General features: G+C 39.1%; 2 long non-coding RNA genes across 2 annotated transcripts in view, besides 1 other annotated feature; one reads left to right on the top strand and one right to left on the bottom strand.

Moving 5' to 3' along the window:
* Positions 1–12352: 12352 nt before the first annotated feature.
* On the bottom strand, positions 12353–14660 carry LOC124904514 (uncharacterized). The gene is made up of 2 exons (XR_007066882.1): positions 14583–14660; positions 12353–12867 (listed from the first exon to the last, which is right to left on the bottom strand). It is a non-coding gene; the product is annotated as an uncharacterized LOC124904514 (long non-coding RNA).
* The window catches only part of LYPLAL1-AS1 (LYPLAL1 antisense RNA 1), a 122167-nt gene continuing 118060 nt past the window's right edge, over positions 12736–16842 (top strand). Inside the window, exon 1 of the long non-coding RNA NR_135822.1 lies at positions 12736–12869. This is a non-coding gene — a long non-coding RNA (LYPLAL1 antisense RNA 1). The remainder of the gene's footprint in view (positions 12870–16842) is intronic.
* Positions 14347–15046: an enhancer, noted in NCBI's record as "OCT4-NANOG hESC enhancer chr1:219728356-219729055 (GRCh37/hg19 assembly coordinates)". NCBI's record gives its function as "activates a minimal SCP1, AML or CMV promoter by ChIP-STARR-seq in naive H9 embryonic stem cells {active_cell/tissue: H9 hESC(naive)}" and the evidence as "EXISTENCE:reporter gene assay evidence [ECO:0000049][PMID:30033119]".

Genomic DNA, 16842 nt, shown 5'->3' with positions numbered 1-16842 from the left:
ATTGCAGCATCCAGCTCCCAGGCTCAAGCAATCCTCCCACCTCAGCCTCCCAAGTAGCTGCTACAGGCATGCATCACCACACCCAGCTAACTTTTTGTATTTTTTGTAGAGATGGGGTTTTATCATGTTGCCCAGGCTGGTGTCAAACTCCTGGACTTAAGCCACAGGAGGCCACCCATTTTGGCCTCTCAAAGTGCTGGGGGTTACAGGTATGAGCCACCACACTTGGCTGAAACCTTGGTCTCTTAACCTGTAAATGCCAACTTTACTAACTGTTTTACTTGCCCAACTTCCATGTTTGGTTGGGAGGAACAAATAAGATAAAAGATGTAAAATTGTATAGAACTATAAAGCACAAAATAAAGGTAAATAATTATAATTAGAAATATTTTCAGTTATTAACACATTACTTTGTCTTGCAGTTTTTAAAATGATAGCTTTTGGAGAATTTTTAGAATTATTATTTCTAACTGGTTTACAACATTTATATCTGTTGTGCCCAGGCTTTTATTATATCTTTTCTTACACTTCTGGCCCCTCTCAGACTGCCAGCCTCTCAGAAGTTATCTTTATCTTTATTTCCCCAAATTTCTCCTATCAGTTCCTTCCATTCTGCTGGCAGGCTAAGAAAATCTGTTTCTGGGTTTAGACACTGATGTTACCTTTCTGCAGTTCAGCTTCATTAGTTATTGTGGGGTCAACAAGTGGATTTTCTTCAATGGATTTCCAGGCACATCATGCACTCTGGGCTGATTGTGGGGTTCATGCTGACTGTGAGCCCAGTTTTCCACCACCTCACGGGGCCATGGCCTGGACCTGTGAATGTGGAGGCAGTGCTGGCCCAAGGAGGCCTTTTTGATGACCGTGAGTGAACAAAATCTAGACAAACTCTTGATCAGGTCCTCTCCTTTTTTGTCAGGCTTGAATTGGCTTGATCAGCAAGAACATACTGTAAAAACATGACGGAATTAAGGTAAAGGGAACTGCCCATTTTCCTACTTCTCCCTGGTTGTGTCACTGTGTGTACAGCCTGTAAGGTTGATCAGGCAGGGGTGACTCAGGCGTCTGGGCTCTGCCCTTGTGGAGACAACATGGCTTGTCAGTCCTGCTCAGCATCATTAGGAAGAGGGCTGACCTCCGGGAACTTTGCTGTGAAATTTCCTATCAGTGTCACTTGGTAAGAATTCACAGAACAGTAATTCTCAGAAGAAGACCTGTCAATAACTGTCCATCAAAGTGAGACTCATGCGTGGCAGCCAAGCTTCATAGACAAAGGTGGATCAGGAAGTCATTGTTACCATAAGGAAGGAAAAAAGGAAAGGCAAATTAACATTTTCTGAATGTGTGATGTGTGCCAAACACTTACGTAGGTCCTCCCAGCCTGTTATTTGTTTGGGTTATATTCAGCATCTCAGCACTCAATTATACCTTGTCTTGTTTGGTTCTTTGATTTATCTCATGGGGTGAGGAAGACAGGGACTTTTTTTTTTTTTTTTTTTTTAAGCTGCAACTCTTTTGTTTTCCTTGTAGGACTCTGTAGGGACAAGGCACATGAACCTGCGGTAGGAATTTAGCAAACCCCGAGGACAAGGTGAAGGAAACGTGACTATTGCTTAGGCAAAGTGCAGGACTTGGAACATATAGAGCATGTTTATGTTACTATCCAGGCAGGAGGACCTCAAAGAGTTGTTGCTTCCTTTTGTGAAGCTGTCAATGGTAGTAGAAATCTCTGGAGCATTCAGGAAAGGCTTCTACAGGGAAGACTTTTAAAATCTTAGCTTCTTTAACTATCTTTGCCATGTTTGGGATAGAAATGATAACTCTTTTTCATTGTGTTCTTTTGAAGCTCCTATTCTGGAGAATGAGAAACTAGGAGTTTTATTTCCTATCCCTCCATGGTGTGGTGACCCATGTCTGGTCAATTTTTAGTTTCCAAAATCTTTCCATTTTGACACAGTTAGAGGGCACCAATGCAGCTATTTTTAGATTTTCTCAAGGTGGGGAGTCTCAGTGACATGCATGCATACCTGTGTGCTATTTGTGTTACATGTATGTTTAATTTATTTCTCTGGAAAACTCTGCACAGGCCCAACTAGGTACCATAAATCTATTCCAAAATGTCATAGTTTGGGTTAAGTTCAGGGCTATTAGACTCTAAGGACTGTGCTAGATCAATTAGACTGTCTATTCATTCCTTCTGTACCAACCCAACCAGAAGTGCATTGTGATTTTAAAATGTACTCTGTTTTTCAATATTCTCCTGGTTTCCTGGCTACATCGTTGGTGCTCTGGGGAGCAATAGTGAGCAGTAATGACTAGCATTAACCTTCTGGGCAGTAACTAACTGGGAAGAACCTGGGGAATTCTGTGAAGGCTCATTTCAAGCAGGATGAGACCCAAAGATACCTGGAAAAGAACTTTTAGAAACATTTCAGAATTGAATTGCAAAGCTCAATATTAACCAAGCCAAAATCCACTTGAACTTGGAAACTGTCAAAGCATGCAATAGCCAAAAGGTGGCACTCCTTATCCACTGTTCATTTTGTTCCAAAGTAAGGTCATCTCCACGTGTTTTTCTGTTCCTTCTATTAGTTGTTTCATAATAAAATATTATACCCTCATCCTCTCCTGGTAAAACATAGCAATAAAACAGACCTCATTATCTGGATCGATATGTGTTTTGATATATACCAGTTCTTATCCCTCCGGATGGACAATGTATAAGATAAATTGTATTTTCAGTAGAGTTTGGCTTATAGTTCTGTGTGCATCTATAGACTATGCCATATAACCAAACACCTTTACTGTAAAATCATCTCTGACCAGATCCAAGGTTTTAATTTGTCTCTAGAGTTTGCCTCTCTCAATTTCATAAACTGTGAAAACACAGCTGGAGCAATTTACAGACTGTGGAAAAACTCTTGAGTATTTTTGCTGAGGTACTAATTCAAGGATCATGCTTTGTTATTTCCTGTTTCATTGTTGTTTGTAAAACTAGTTAATGGGCAATGGGCTGTTTCAAATTTGTCTAGTCCCTCAATACTGTTGCATGCACCTCCTGTCGGGGCATAGCATGAATTGGGTGCAAGCGTGACAGCAAAATGGCATTGATTTGAGCAGACACACATCACTGAGAATGAAATCATAGCAAACATTTGGAAAGAGCTAGGCTTGTACTCTTTGAGCTACATGAATGTGGTCCCTGAGGCTTTTAAAAAATCAAATCCTACTCTGTTATAATTTCCCACCAACCCAGAATATTTTTGAGATATACCTTCAGGATCAGCACTATCAAGTAAGGGAAAGTCTTTACTGTCTCCTGGCTATTGGTCCTTAGAAACAAAGACATAAAACATGATGGAGAGAAAATGCCAGCACTGAGTAAAGATATAAAGCAGGACGATTAGCTTCACTGACGCCCCACTAACCTACAATCTGGAAATCTAGAAACCTCAGTCATTTAGAAAACAAACATAACATCATACATAAGTTAAAAGAGTTTCTGAGCAGCATAGAAAATTGTTATAAAGTGCAAGCACCTTTCTCCACAGGAATAAAGCTTCTAGGCATTTTGTAACTTTAATGCCTGATATAATACAAGATAAGGGCTCAATAAATATTTGTGGAATGAATGGATGATGAATGGAGAGAAGCAGAACCTGAGAGAAACAAGCTTACTGAGGCTGATGTTAGGAAGGGACCATCTAGTGTAGGGAAAAATTGCTTTACACTCCTCAGTGCTGTCTCTGAAGGCATCATCACTACAGCACAATTAAATGATTGAGGCTTTCCCTGTAAACTTGATATACTGCTAAAACATGAAATTATATTTAGAGTGCCCTGGTCCTTGAAATGTATGTAATAAAATGATTAAGATTAAAAACAACTCATGCTGTTAAAAGAACATGTTTGAATTGCTTACTTTGAACATCCACTGCTTGCCAAGAACTGAACTTGATTCTAGCATAGAATGGTAAACAAGTTATCTGAAGTGTTGCCTTAGATTGCATATTTTATATCTTTATGATACTAAATAAGACATTAGTACATTTTATTATATACATATGAAGAACAAAGGCACTTGAACACAACAGATCTAAAATACTTACAGCTCTAGTTCAAGTCCTCGGTAAAGTAGTGATCAGTGGAAAACATTCAGTACTACAGCAAGATTGATTTATCAAATGGATTTTCCTGTATTGACAAACTGTGATGCAACTTTCTTAGTGGATGACAGATTAGATGAAGAAATCAGGTAAAGTGCTGAGAAGCTACAGTTTTCATCTCTTACCAGAACAGAATTGCATTATGAAAATTATCTTATTTGTCAGGTAGCTCACCCAATATTCTGGCTTCTAGTACTCTCTAGGTTGGGTTGGAAAAGCTCATGTTTGATGTGTGAAGGGTCACTGTTTGGAGTAGAGAAGTGAGATGAATTTAGTCCCCTTACCCAAAATGTTTTTTCACCATGCTTTGGGAAACGTCTCTGGGAAGGTTCGGCTGGTGTAGGTTTGAACTCAAGTTTAGTAATTTGTTTTACCTCTCTAAACACTTTAAAGCGTTTTTTTACCTCTTGCATAGAAATGAGACCTCGACCATTGTTCCTATTTAATTCTTCAACATGCTCAACCATCAATTCCCAGTCACCTTAGTGAGAGTCTTACCGTAGTGTTCTTTATTATTTCCTTTGTATTTCAAGGATAAAGTCACTTAAAGAGTTTGCATATTCAACTTCAGCCCGCACAAAATCACAGAGCAGGACTGGGACACTGGGACTTCCACTGCTGGTGCCCAACTCTTCCACCACTCTGCAGAGCCTATACATTTGCAAACTCTAATTTCACATTGCTCTAAACTAGAAAATGCTCTATAATGCATTGGACTGGCATTTTAAATGTAGATTGTTTTCATCTTTATAGGCTGATAAGTTTTCAGAACACTCTTTAAGTGGAAAAGTCTGGGTCTCTCCAACATCAACTCATTCTACTATTACAGAAACTGAAGAAGCAGTTGCTTATCTAAGTTTTTCACTTTCCAATAAGTTTTCGTAGTGATTGTAAGATCTAGCCTAATCTCAGGACAACTCTGATAGGCAAAGGATTAGTGTTATCCTGCATGGCAGCTCTGGTTCACTCCTCATTTCTAGCCGTTCCAACTCAGTGAGATTCAAGAAAGAAATGCCCCTATTCATGCCACCAAACTAAACTCATGAGTATTACTTATTTTCTCCTACAAAGATTTTTTTTCCCTTTCCATTGACAACCCTAGATTCAGGCAAACACAAAGGTCACTGTGACTTCTATTTTGAACTTATATACTGCCCCAAAAGATTAATGAAGTGCCAAAGCCAAGCCAAGTGAATCCTAAGCCAAACATAGTTAACAAAGCAAGTCTGCTTCCAAGAAAATTTACGTATCGATTTGAAAAACTAAAGAGAAAATTATTTCTGGATAACCTATTGTATTAGTGGGATTTTATTGGTAGGCACAATTGAGAGTCAACTATATGTATTTTTCTGAGCCACTCATCTGTCCACACTGTCCAGATTGTTTTTAAAACTATGGAAATTTCCATCCAGGGTGCACTTTCCCTGTTTGCTTCCATCAACATTTCTCTGCTCAAATAGTTCCTTTTGTGGTTCAATTTTTCCATCTTTTTAATATAGTGGGTTGATCCCAGCTGTAATTGTGCATGGTTATATACTGACAACCCACATAAACAAACATCAACAAACACAGTCCTTTGATAGGGTGATGTCATCACAATGAGAGTTTCAAAAGCAAATACAAGTGGGCAACTTGGACACCTGTGTCAGCTCTTCTTAGTCCTCCCTCCCCTTGCCCTTGATGATGAAAGAATTATCTTTACTGAAGCTGGAATTCTGTGTTGACACCAGCTCCCCTAGCACCGACCCTGGAAGATCAATTTCACGTCAAATTGTTTAGATTGATACTGAGACCACCTGGGCATCAGCTGTCAGGAAACTCAGGGCTTTGCTTAAACAGCAGGCAGCTATCAAAATAGGAGAATGAAAGAGAGAGAGAGAGAGAAGAGAGAGACTATCAGACCCAATACTGGCACACATTAGAGAGCTACAGAACTCTCTCAGGTCTGGTAATGTTGCTGCTACCATTTGTCAGGTGTACAATCAACCTGAGAATAGGGATAATGGGATCTTTGTAGGATCCTGAATCAACATTCTAAACAATTCAACCACTGTTCGCAGGTCAGAGTCATACCTCCCTGACCCTTCTCCCCTCTCTTCTCAAAGAACCCAGGACTCCTCCCACCTCCCAGGAGCATTACATCAATGGGTACATTCACTTTTCCTCAATATGACAGCTGTTTAAGTGACACCATGAGATTCCCTCCTTAATAGCTCATGTATAGAAACAGCTGTTAGAATGATTTCTCATGTTGTTCAACCTTGTTTCCAGCATCGTAAGATTTAGAGTTTGGATTTTGTGCATGTTTGGAGAGACTTTTCTCTTTTGTTTTAAAATTTTTTAATTTTATTAAGAAAAAGTGAATGCGATTTATGGTTTAAAAAATAAGGGGAGGATAATTTGCTTTTGAGATTTATAAAATAATCTTTTTAACCATTTTCATTTCAGTATTGAAAATGGCACATATCACATGTGCCTTCATAATAACAGACACAGAGGGAAATTTGGGCTCAGCTTTGATGGTGACTGGGCTGGTTTGTGACTGGGCTGGTTTGTGACTGGAGGTGTCCCTGCGCCCTCAGTCTTGCTGCAGCCTTCCACTCCAGCCCGTACTCTCCCCAGCTCCATCTCCCTTTCCCTTTGCTTCTCACAAGTCCCTTGTCTCTTTTTAAAAACCACCAAGCCAGATCCACAACTCCCCTGAAAGAATTTACTTTCATCTCTTTTAGCACCGGGAAGAAAATGGAAGTAACTCAAAGAGCAGTGTCAAATAAATACGTAAAAATCTACCTTCTTGCTCACTAAAGCCAGTAGACTCTCTTGCTGGAAGTCCAGGGATGTGATTATGGATTTCCAAAGGTAAAAAATCAGAACTAACATTGGACTGACAAATGAACTTGTAGCAACCAAAATCATGGTTTTTTAGTTGTTCTGTGTATAGCTCAGAACGAATTTCCCAGAGACTTAATAGGAAAATGTCTTTATTATAGTTTTTCAGACATCAAGAAGAACAGAAAAATGTCTTTCTTGACAGGGCTTAATTTCCAGAACACACTTACTTTTTGCTTCCCTTTAGGTTGCAATTCTGTCTCTTGCAAAGGGGACTAATTTGCTCAGTAGGAGAAACTGTGGTATAGATGTTTAACCATGCTATCTCCCAGTTCCTTCTATGATGCATGAAACAGTTATAAGGAGGAAAGGTAATCGAAGTTTTTCCTTGTACATTTAGTCATCATTGATGAACAAATATTATCTTCATAATGTACTTTATTGACTTGAATTCACACCAAGGCACAAATTACATCTGTCTAAGAGAAGAAAGAAAAGTTAGAAGTACTGGATGTCATAAAATGTGCTCTGTGTGTGTGTAGCTTTTTCCTGAGCCCAGCACTGTATCAGTTTGGGGACATATACAGTAATATGCTGTTCTTGTGGTCTGAATTATTGCATCAGGAAAGGATTCTTTGAGCTCAGATCGGGGAGGCTCCAAAACAATCCATCTTCACTAGACAATTTACAGCAGTGCCTAGTAGCAAATTTAAATTCATTCACGTAGGATTTGGTCCATATAGCCAAGTAGATCCTTCTAATGGAGCCACATTGTTTTTATGGTTTTTTTTTTTTTTTTTTTTTTTTCATGTTGCTCCTTTTTTTTTTTATTATACTTTAAGTTTTAGGGTACATGTGCACATTGTGCAGGTTAGTTACATATGTATACATGTGCCATGCTGGTGCGCTGCACCCACTAACTGGTCATCTAGCATTAGGTATATCTCCCAATGCTATCCCTCCCCCCTCCCCCCACCCCACAACAGTCCCCAGAGTGTGATGTTCCCCTTCCTGTGTCCATGTGATCTCATTGTTCAATTCCCACCTATGAGTGAGAATATGCGGTGTTTGGTTTTTTGTTCTTGCGATAGTTTACTGAGAATGATGATTTCCAATTTCATCCATGTCCCTACAAAGGACATGAACTCATCATTTTTTATGGCTGCATAGTATTCCATGGTGTATATGTGCCACATTTTCTTAATCGAGTCTATCATTGTTGGACATTTGGGTTGGTTCCAAGTCTTTGCTATTGTGAATAATGCCGCAATAAACATACGTGTGCATGTGTCTTTATAGCAGCATGATTTATAGTCCTTTGGGTATATACCCAGTAATGGGATGGCTGGGTCAAAATTAACAACCTGATGCTGAGCCTAGAAATAAAATAGGTAAGAAAATTGATTCTGTAATATATCCACATACTCACTTCATCAGCACAATTGTTGAATGCTGACCATATTTATTTAACGATGTGGAAAAAATTGCCTTCCGAACTAGAGATCTAATTTTTCTTTTGTCTCGTAGTAAGCCCCCAGTTCTTTAGTATGAAATGTATGGGATTCATTTTTTTTTTTCAGGTGTTAGTTGCCTTGTCAGAAGGAGGACCCAAAATACTGTAGTTCCCTAGGTACTTGCTCACCATTCTCCGATGCACGTAAGAGAAGGGAGTGAGGGAGAGGGAGATGGAAAGGGAAAAGGAGAGAGAGAGATTGGTTCATTATTTAGATCCTTGGGAATCCCTTGGTGGTTTATTTGTTGTGCAGAGACAGGAAACCAATCCATTCTAAACTTTCTCCTTGTTGGCAGATTTTTCCAAGCTGATGTTTCTCTGCTGACTGTGCACGTCCTCTTAGCATGTGTTTGGTTTTTCAATATCTAGCCATTTCACAAAGAAAAGGACATTTATTTTCAATTAATAAACCACCCCGCAGTTACCCTTTGTTCATAGCCATGGAAATGCTTCTGTGTGTGCAGACGACAGCTTACACATTAAACAACTCTTTCTATCAGCTTCCCAGTTGTCCCAGTTCCTGGCTATGTTTTCCAGGTTGCCTTCTTACTGGCACATTATGCCTGCTTACTAGCAGATCTGCAGAGAAACACCCACATGGTAGTGGGCACATCACATTTCATGTTCATTTACAAACTGAGAATTAATGTCTTTTATTCCCCCAATGCCTTGAGAAGATTTTCATCATTGGTATCTGTAAATTAGGTGACTTACTTTCAGTAGACCTAATGTCTTCCCCTAGAAAGTATAATTACGCTTTGAAAAGAGCCATTCACTGATTTTAGTGAAATGAATTGTTATTTTGAAAACAGTTAGTGCTCTGGCTAATTTCTCTTGTTATGGCAATCTGTGTTTGGAACTCCAGGACTGTGTAGATGCAGAATGAATTGTAAGATCCTGAGAACAGCATTGGCTCTTTCTCATGTCTGTATTTTCATATTGAAAACAGATTTGAGAACATAATAGCCTGAGATGTTGATGCACAGATATAGGTGGAAATAGAGAGATGACCTAGAGAAGCATATTTAAGCTAGGCTGCAGTGATCTAGAGAAAATGTATGTCGGCTGGGCTCAGTGGCTCATGCCTGTAATCCCAGCATTTTGGGAGACTGAGGCAAGTGGATCATGAGGTCAGGAGTTCCAGACCAGCCTGGCCAAAATGATGAAACCCTGTCTCTACTAAAAAATACAAAAATTAGCCAGGCGCTGTAGTGGACGCCTCTAATCCCAGCTATTCGGGAGGCTGAGGCAGGAGAATCGCTGGAACCCGGGAGGCAGAGTTTGCAGTGAGCCGAGATCGTGCTACTGCACTCTAGCCTGGGTCACAGAGCAAGACTCACTCTCAAAAAAAAAAAAAGAAAAAAAGAAAATGTATGTCATTCTCACTGTTCCTTCTGCTGCTTCCTTTAAGTTTTTTCCATTCATTCTAACTCAGCAAGCCAAAATACAACATTCTTTCATTTCTATTATCCTGGGAAAAATGGTTAAAGGACTAAACTAAGATTAGAACACATATAAAAATCAATCCTGATGCTTACAAAAAGAAAGCAAGACTCTAATTCTGAAAAGCTCTGCCAGTGTGAATATAGTGGATGCCACTTGTTTGAGTTAAATATTAAATTTTCCTCCAGGCTGTTCACAGTTCCTTTCTCCAAAATACTTTGTGGGAGGTAGAGATTTTCCCAGCCCAACTGTTCCAACAACATTCTCAACAGAAACAATTCATGATCATTATACAAAATTCACCAAATACAGAAATGTACAAATATGAAAATTAAAACTGCCATATCCCAACCATTCATGAATCACTGAAACATTGTACTGTATGTCATTCCAGTTTTATTCTATAGATAAATGTGACTACCAATCCATCCATCCTTTGTCTGAATCAGAGCCTCAGATTCATTTATAATTTGATGGGATATTGTATTAGTCTGTTCTCATGCTGCTAATAAGGACATACCCGAGACAGGGTAATTTATAAAGGAAAAAGGTTTAATTGACTCATAGTTCCACATTGCTGGGGAGGCCTCACAATCATGGTGGAAGGTGAATGAGGAGCAAAGTCACATCTCACATGTCAGCAGGCAAGAGCACTAGTGCAGGAAAACTCCCATTTATAAAACCATCAGATCTCAGGAGACTTACTCAGGACCATGAGAACAGTATGGGGGAAACCGCCCTAGTGATTCAATTATTTCCACCTGGCCCTGCCCTTGACACCTGGGGATTATTACAATTCATGGAGAGATTTGGGTGAGGACACAGCCAAACCACATCAGATGTTTATATACTAAAAATTAAATATTATACTAGTTTAAAACTTATGAAGTTCTACCATAAAAGTTGGTAGACTTATTGTATATAAATTAGGGATTATAGACAAACCATTTATCTATTATCTAGATATTAAGTACCTTTATTAAAATATAGTTATAAAATTTATAAATGATATAATAAGGAACAAAGGGGCTAAGTGATAGTGTCCCAATTACACAGTGAATATTTAGGAAAAACAAGCTAGAAATCATAGTCTCAGAGCCTACATCTATGTTCAGACACTCAGAAATCTGGTTGAAAGGGTTGAAATCTGTGATTGCCATTAAGATTCATTTTGAGGTCTAGCGATATATTTTTTAAATGTTCTGTATTTGATGTTTTTCAAATTGCAAATGATAGTTCATACTTTTTTAAAAAGTAAATGTACTAATAGAAAATAAAGGTGTAAAGGGCAAAACTACACATCTCAGGGCCACCATATATGGTTGGGAAAGTTCTGCGTTGCAGAAGGGCATAACAGCTCATGCGGTTCCTGTCATGGCAGACAGTGAAGATTTTTATATTTATTACAGTAATTTTTTAGTAGATGACAGTATATTATGACAATGTTCCAACAGAGAGAAATAAAGTGTCTTGAGTAAGGGGTATCTTTAATTGGCAGCATCTCTGGTTACTCTCCAAACCCATGTCCTTTCGTTGACTTTTTTTTTTTTTTTTTTTTGAGACGAAGTCTTGCTCTGTCACCCAGGCTGGAGTGCAGTGGCGCGATCTCGGCTCACTGCAAGCTCCGTCTCCCAGGCTCACTGCAAGCTCTGCCTCCCAGGTTCACGCCATTCTCCTGCCTCAGCCTCCCCAGTAGCTGGGACTACATCGTCGCATTCTTATATTGCTGAATCAATAATATCTGACAGAAATCGTCTAAGTCGACTGATGTTTTCAATGGAGGTGTCCTATCTCTTATACAACTTATGATGTGAACTTGAAAGGCCTAATGGGATATAGTAGCTACTGATAGCTCATATTTCAAGCAACCATGTACATAAAATCATCAGAATTTTAATTTTGCCATGTAATTCAGTGGAACATTTCTGTAATCGATGCTCATGTTAATGTTAGAGAAAAGCATTGCCTCATCTTGAAATACTTTCTAAACTTTCGAAGAAAGGTTAAATTATATTCAAGATTTGTGTAGTGTTGGATTTTTTTTTTGGTTATGCTCTTTGAAAATGGTTGATCTATTGCTTATATGTGCAATGAGTCTTTGTTTGTTTGTTGGTTGGTTTGTTTTTGACACATGGTCTTGCTCTGTCGCCCAGGCTGGAGTGCAGTGGCATAATCTCGGCTCACTGCAATCCCTGCCTCTCAAGCTCAAGCGATCTCCCACTCAGCCTCTCAAGTAGCTGGGACTACAAGCATGCACACCTCCACACCCAGCTAATTTTTGTATTTTTTTTGTAGAAATGGGGTTTCATCATATTGCCCAGGCTGGTCGCGAACTCCTGGGCTCAAGCAATCGGCCCACCTTGACCTCCCAAAGAGCTGAAATGAGAGGTGTGAGCCATTGTGCCCAGCCTGTGCAATGAGTCTTTATTGGAATAAATTAAATTACATATTTATATGGGGCTTCAAAACATCTTCCCATAACCTTGGTATTTGATCTTTGCAACTGCAACAATATAAGGCAGGAAGTGTCAGTTTCCCAGTTTCCCTGTAGAGGAAGAAGCATTGGCTTAGTACTGTGGTTTGAATGTCCTCTCCAAAACTCATGTTGAAACTTAATCCCCAATGTGGCAGTATTGAGAGGTGGGCCTTTACGAGGTGATTGGTTATGAGGGCTTGGCCTTCATGGATGGATTAATCCATTCTTCAATTAATGGGTTAATGGATTAATGAGTTATCATGGGAAGGGAACTGGTGGCTTATAAGAAGAGGAAGAGAGTGCTAAGTGGGCACATGGGAGCACCCTCAGCTCCCTCTCCATGGGATACCCTGTGGGGCACTTCAGAGTCCCCACCAGCAAGAAGGCTCTCTCTCACCAGATGTGCCCCCCGCCAACCTTGGATGTCTCAGTCTCCAGAACTGTAAGACATAAATTTTGTTTCTTATAAATTATCCAATTTCAGATAGTCTCTTATAAACATTCAAAAACAAACAAAGACATTTTGAGAGGATGAGTATCTTGCTCAAGGCCCTGTGATCACAAAGATGCAGGGCCAGTTGGGTACTCAGTCTTTATAGGGCCCCACAGTGCTTTAGAGGGGAAATAATAAGAACCCACCATTTTCTGACCACCCTAATTAATTGGGGATTTGCTCTGCTTTGGATACTATAAAAGATACCAGTACAGCTCATGGGATCAATGTCCTCTTCTTCGCTAGAGGAGTCCCTTGCTGTGATTCTCTTGGATACATTTTAGGACTTTCTTCCGTGTTTCTCAAATGCCATAGGAACGCATTTGCTTCCACTTTCTGCCCTATCCCACCGATCTCCTTCCTACCTCTCACACACATTTGAAAGGCTGAATGAGTCTACTAATGATTTTAGTGACTGAAATGCAATCTAATAGAATAATAGACTATTAATTAACATCAATAAATAATGTACTTTTGTTCAAGTTTACAGTTATAGTGGTTTATAGCTACCAGCACTTTACAGTTTACAAAAACCCTTTCCTTCATTAACATCTAAAAATAATCTCCTGTTGGATTGGATAGATCTGACTTTAGTTAAGCCTCATGATTTTAGCTTTCTGGAGTGGGGAGAGGGGCATATACTTTAGAATAAAACCATTTCAGTAAGGTGTGATGAAATTAAACTTAGGTCACGGTGTTTAGTTAACATCTCAGGAACACCACCACCAATGAAAAGCAAAGCCTTCTTCCTTTTAAATTAAATAATGAATAGTTGGATATTTTTGTTAGGAGCTGGTGGGTTAGGTAACTGCACTTATTTACATTTTAGAATTACAGGCTAAAGACTAATTAACTGGTTAGAGCATATGCAATGGACCGTGGCAGTCTGCAAAGATTAACAAATTAATTAGTTATTTCCATCCGTTACAATTTTATTCTTTTCCTTGGAAATGAGTGGCCTGTTGATTTCAGCCTTTAAAAGTTTCAGAGCAGGGCTGTTCATTCAGCTTTCTGAATGGCTGAATAGAACAATAAGATTGTGTAACAACTGGGACACGTCAGTGCCTTCGTCAGGGGATAATGTAAGCTATAGAAAGCCCTTTTCATCTTTTAGCAAGGGCCCATTATTCCTATGTATCTCTCTTCTCTGCTTTATGAAAAGGTTTGTACAGTAAATAATGACCAACTATGTAGTAGTTCTTTCTTCTTTTGCCAAGCTCTTTTTAGCTTTGGCAGCAATTTTGTTTTCCCTGTCATCATCTAATGTCTATTTATTTTACATTGCTACAAAGCCAGTGAAATTCCCTTATAAATCCCAGGTCATGAAGATGAAGCAGCAATTCGATTCCTTTTATTAAACGTCTCCAGTGTCCTCTGCTTTTTCTAATTAGGTTCAAAGTGGTCAGTGGCTTAAAAAGCCTCTGGGCAGGAATCAAATCTGTTTGAACAACGCATTCCTAAAGGCCATGCATATTAGATCCTTGGATTTAATTAGAGGAGAGGTATCAAAACTCAGATACTCTCTGGATGCATTTAGGATTGTCACCGAAAGGTCCTGTTTCTACACAGGCTATTTGACCAAATTCCTCTCCTCCCTTTGGCTCTCCCTCCCCTCAACATACAATAGACATTAGGTATTCAGAGCCTGGGGCTATTACTCACCACTGGTTCTCAGAGGCTGCAGTTTTCTTTTGTCAGCATTGCCACAGCATGAAGGTGAGAACAAGAAGCTCTGAAACTGAAGAGAAAAAGATAAAAGGAAAAGTATGCAGGAGAAAAGAGAGGCTCTTTAACTGCTCTGTCAACTCGATTTCTCTCCTCTGCCCCAGGCGTGTTCTGAAGATGGATGGGCGTAGGTACAGGTGGTACATGACAGCAGCTGTGATTTCCATCTGGGTACCATTTAGGAGCAGATAGATTTTTCAGGCCATAGTCTCTTTCAATTGTTGTGGTTAGAGAGCGAAAGTGAGAGGCCCACTGTGTTTTCTTCCACCTCAGGTGCTATTGTTCCAAACCATTGTTTCTCCCAGGGTTGGCTTGCTATCAAAGAAGAGAATTAGAAGGGAATTATTTGATTGTGGGGTGAGTGAATGCGAGAGTTAACTGATGAGAGGTGGTGGAGCTCAGACGCAAACCATCTCATGGAATACATTAGATATTAGATTTATCCAACACGTACTCCTCATATTGTCTATTTCCCTCCTTCTAAGCTATAAGACTGTCAGGGGACACGGTGCTCTTCTGGGGAGTAATGTACACATTTGTGTCTGTGCAGTGCTAAAACAACTGGTTGAACTGTGAAAAATTCAGTACATTAACTAAAGCTCATTTTTGGTTGTGCTAAGAAACCAGCTTCTCTTTTACCTCTATGACAGAATTGACAGGTGTCTACATGTGATGCCAGGACAACCACCCCAGCCAATGGGTTCTTCCCAACAAAAACATTTTTAAAATATTACATATCTGAAAATATTTTAAGTACGCTATTTGATCAAATTTTTTCTTAAGTCTAACTTGCTATTTTTTTAAATTGAACATTTGTGTTTTTTAACCAGCTGTATCAGTGTGACATGGGCATGATAGAATTAAATAATTGTTTTGGAGTAAATTTTCTCTATAGTTTGTTCTCTATGTCTTTTCAACTCACCTGTCAGGGACATCTATAAGAGTCAGGCTGTTTTCTGCTCTTCACAGATGTTTTTAGGGGTGAAAGTTGGTGATTTTCCATCAACTAAAAATGCTTTTTGTCAAAGAGACAGCACCAATGATGTGCTCAAGGGCCTAGTTCTTCATGTGATTTGGATTTGAGACCCGAGGTGTTTCACAAGCATTCACAAGAATTAGCAAATCTGATCGAGGGAGAGATTGCAATATCTTTTCTGGCAAACCAAGCTCCTTTTTCTTTGTTAATATGGACATTTTCCAATGTTGACCCAGATTCTTCAGCTTTCCTAATGTATTCAAGGTCAATGCTTCTATCCCTAAGGAAAAACCATTCGTGAGAGCCATGATCAAGGTTGATTTTATTTTGCCCCCTAGTTGACTGCCCTTTTACCTCCCAAAATCCAGAAAATAAAGTAAGAACATGTTGGTAAATATGATGAAAGAGTACTTGATTCTTGCATTGAGTTTTAGAAGGAAGAATTCCTGGGCAGGGGGAAGCTAAGAGTGAGGTGGTGATGGTGGATGAGGTTAGGGGGTTAGCAGTTACATAAACAGAACATCTGGAGCTGTGATCCAGGGTTTTTTTAAGAAGTCATGCCAAAAAAAGTAAAAATAAACAGTTGTAATTAATTTTAACAATAAATTTTGTTTAACTTAATACAGTATATCCAAAATAATATCATTTGGACATGTAATTAATATAAAATTATTAATGAGATATTTAATCTTCTTTTGTTGTACTAAATCTTCAAAATCTTGTGCATTTTTTGCATTTATAGCACATTCCTCAGTAGCAATGTGAGGCTAATGGCTACTGTACTGGACAGTATAGATCTGGTGTGAACAGGTAAAGGAGAACTAGTTTTCACTGAGCACTTTCTATGTGCAAGGCATTATAGTAGTTACTAATATAGATTATGGTTAGCTTTCATAACCACCCTGGGAGGTGCTTATTATTTCCATTTTACAGAAGAATGGATGTAGCCATAACATTTATTATCCAAACTGGGGCCCTTTCAGAATGATAAGGCAACTTTTATTAATTATCAAGGGACAACAGGTATAGCTTGTACTGTACCAGGAAAAGTGGAAGGAATGGTCACCCTAGATGGGAAAAGAGGCTAGAATAAATTAACTAACATGCTCAAGATCCTAAAGCTCATAAATGGCAGCATGTTTTAAGATTTAAAGCCACATCTATTTGTGTCAAAAGCTCATGCTTAGAACGAGACTCCAGTATTTTTTCTAGATTTCTCCC

Source organism: Homo sapiens, chromosome 1 (assembly GCF_000001405.40).
Source record: "Homo sapiens chromosome 1, GRCh38.p14 Primary Assembly".
NCBI lineage: Eukaryota > Metazoa > Chordata > Mammalia > Primates > Hominidae > Homo > Homo sapiens.
This window is presented reverse-complemented; position numbering and strand designations above follow the sequence as displayed.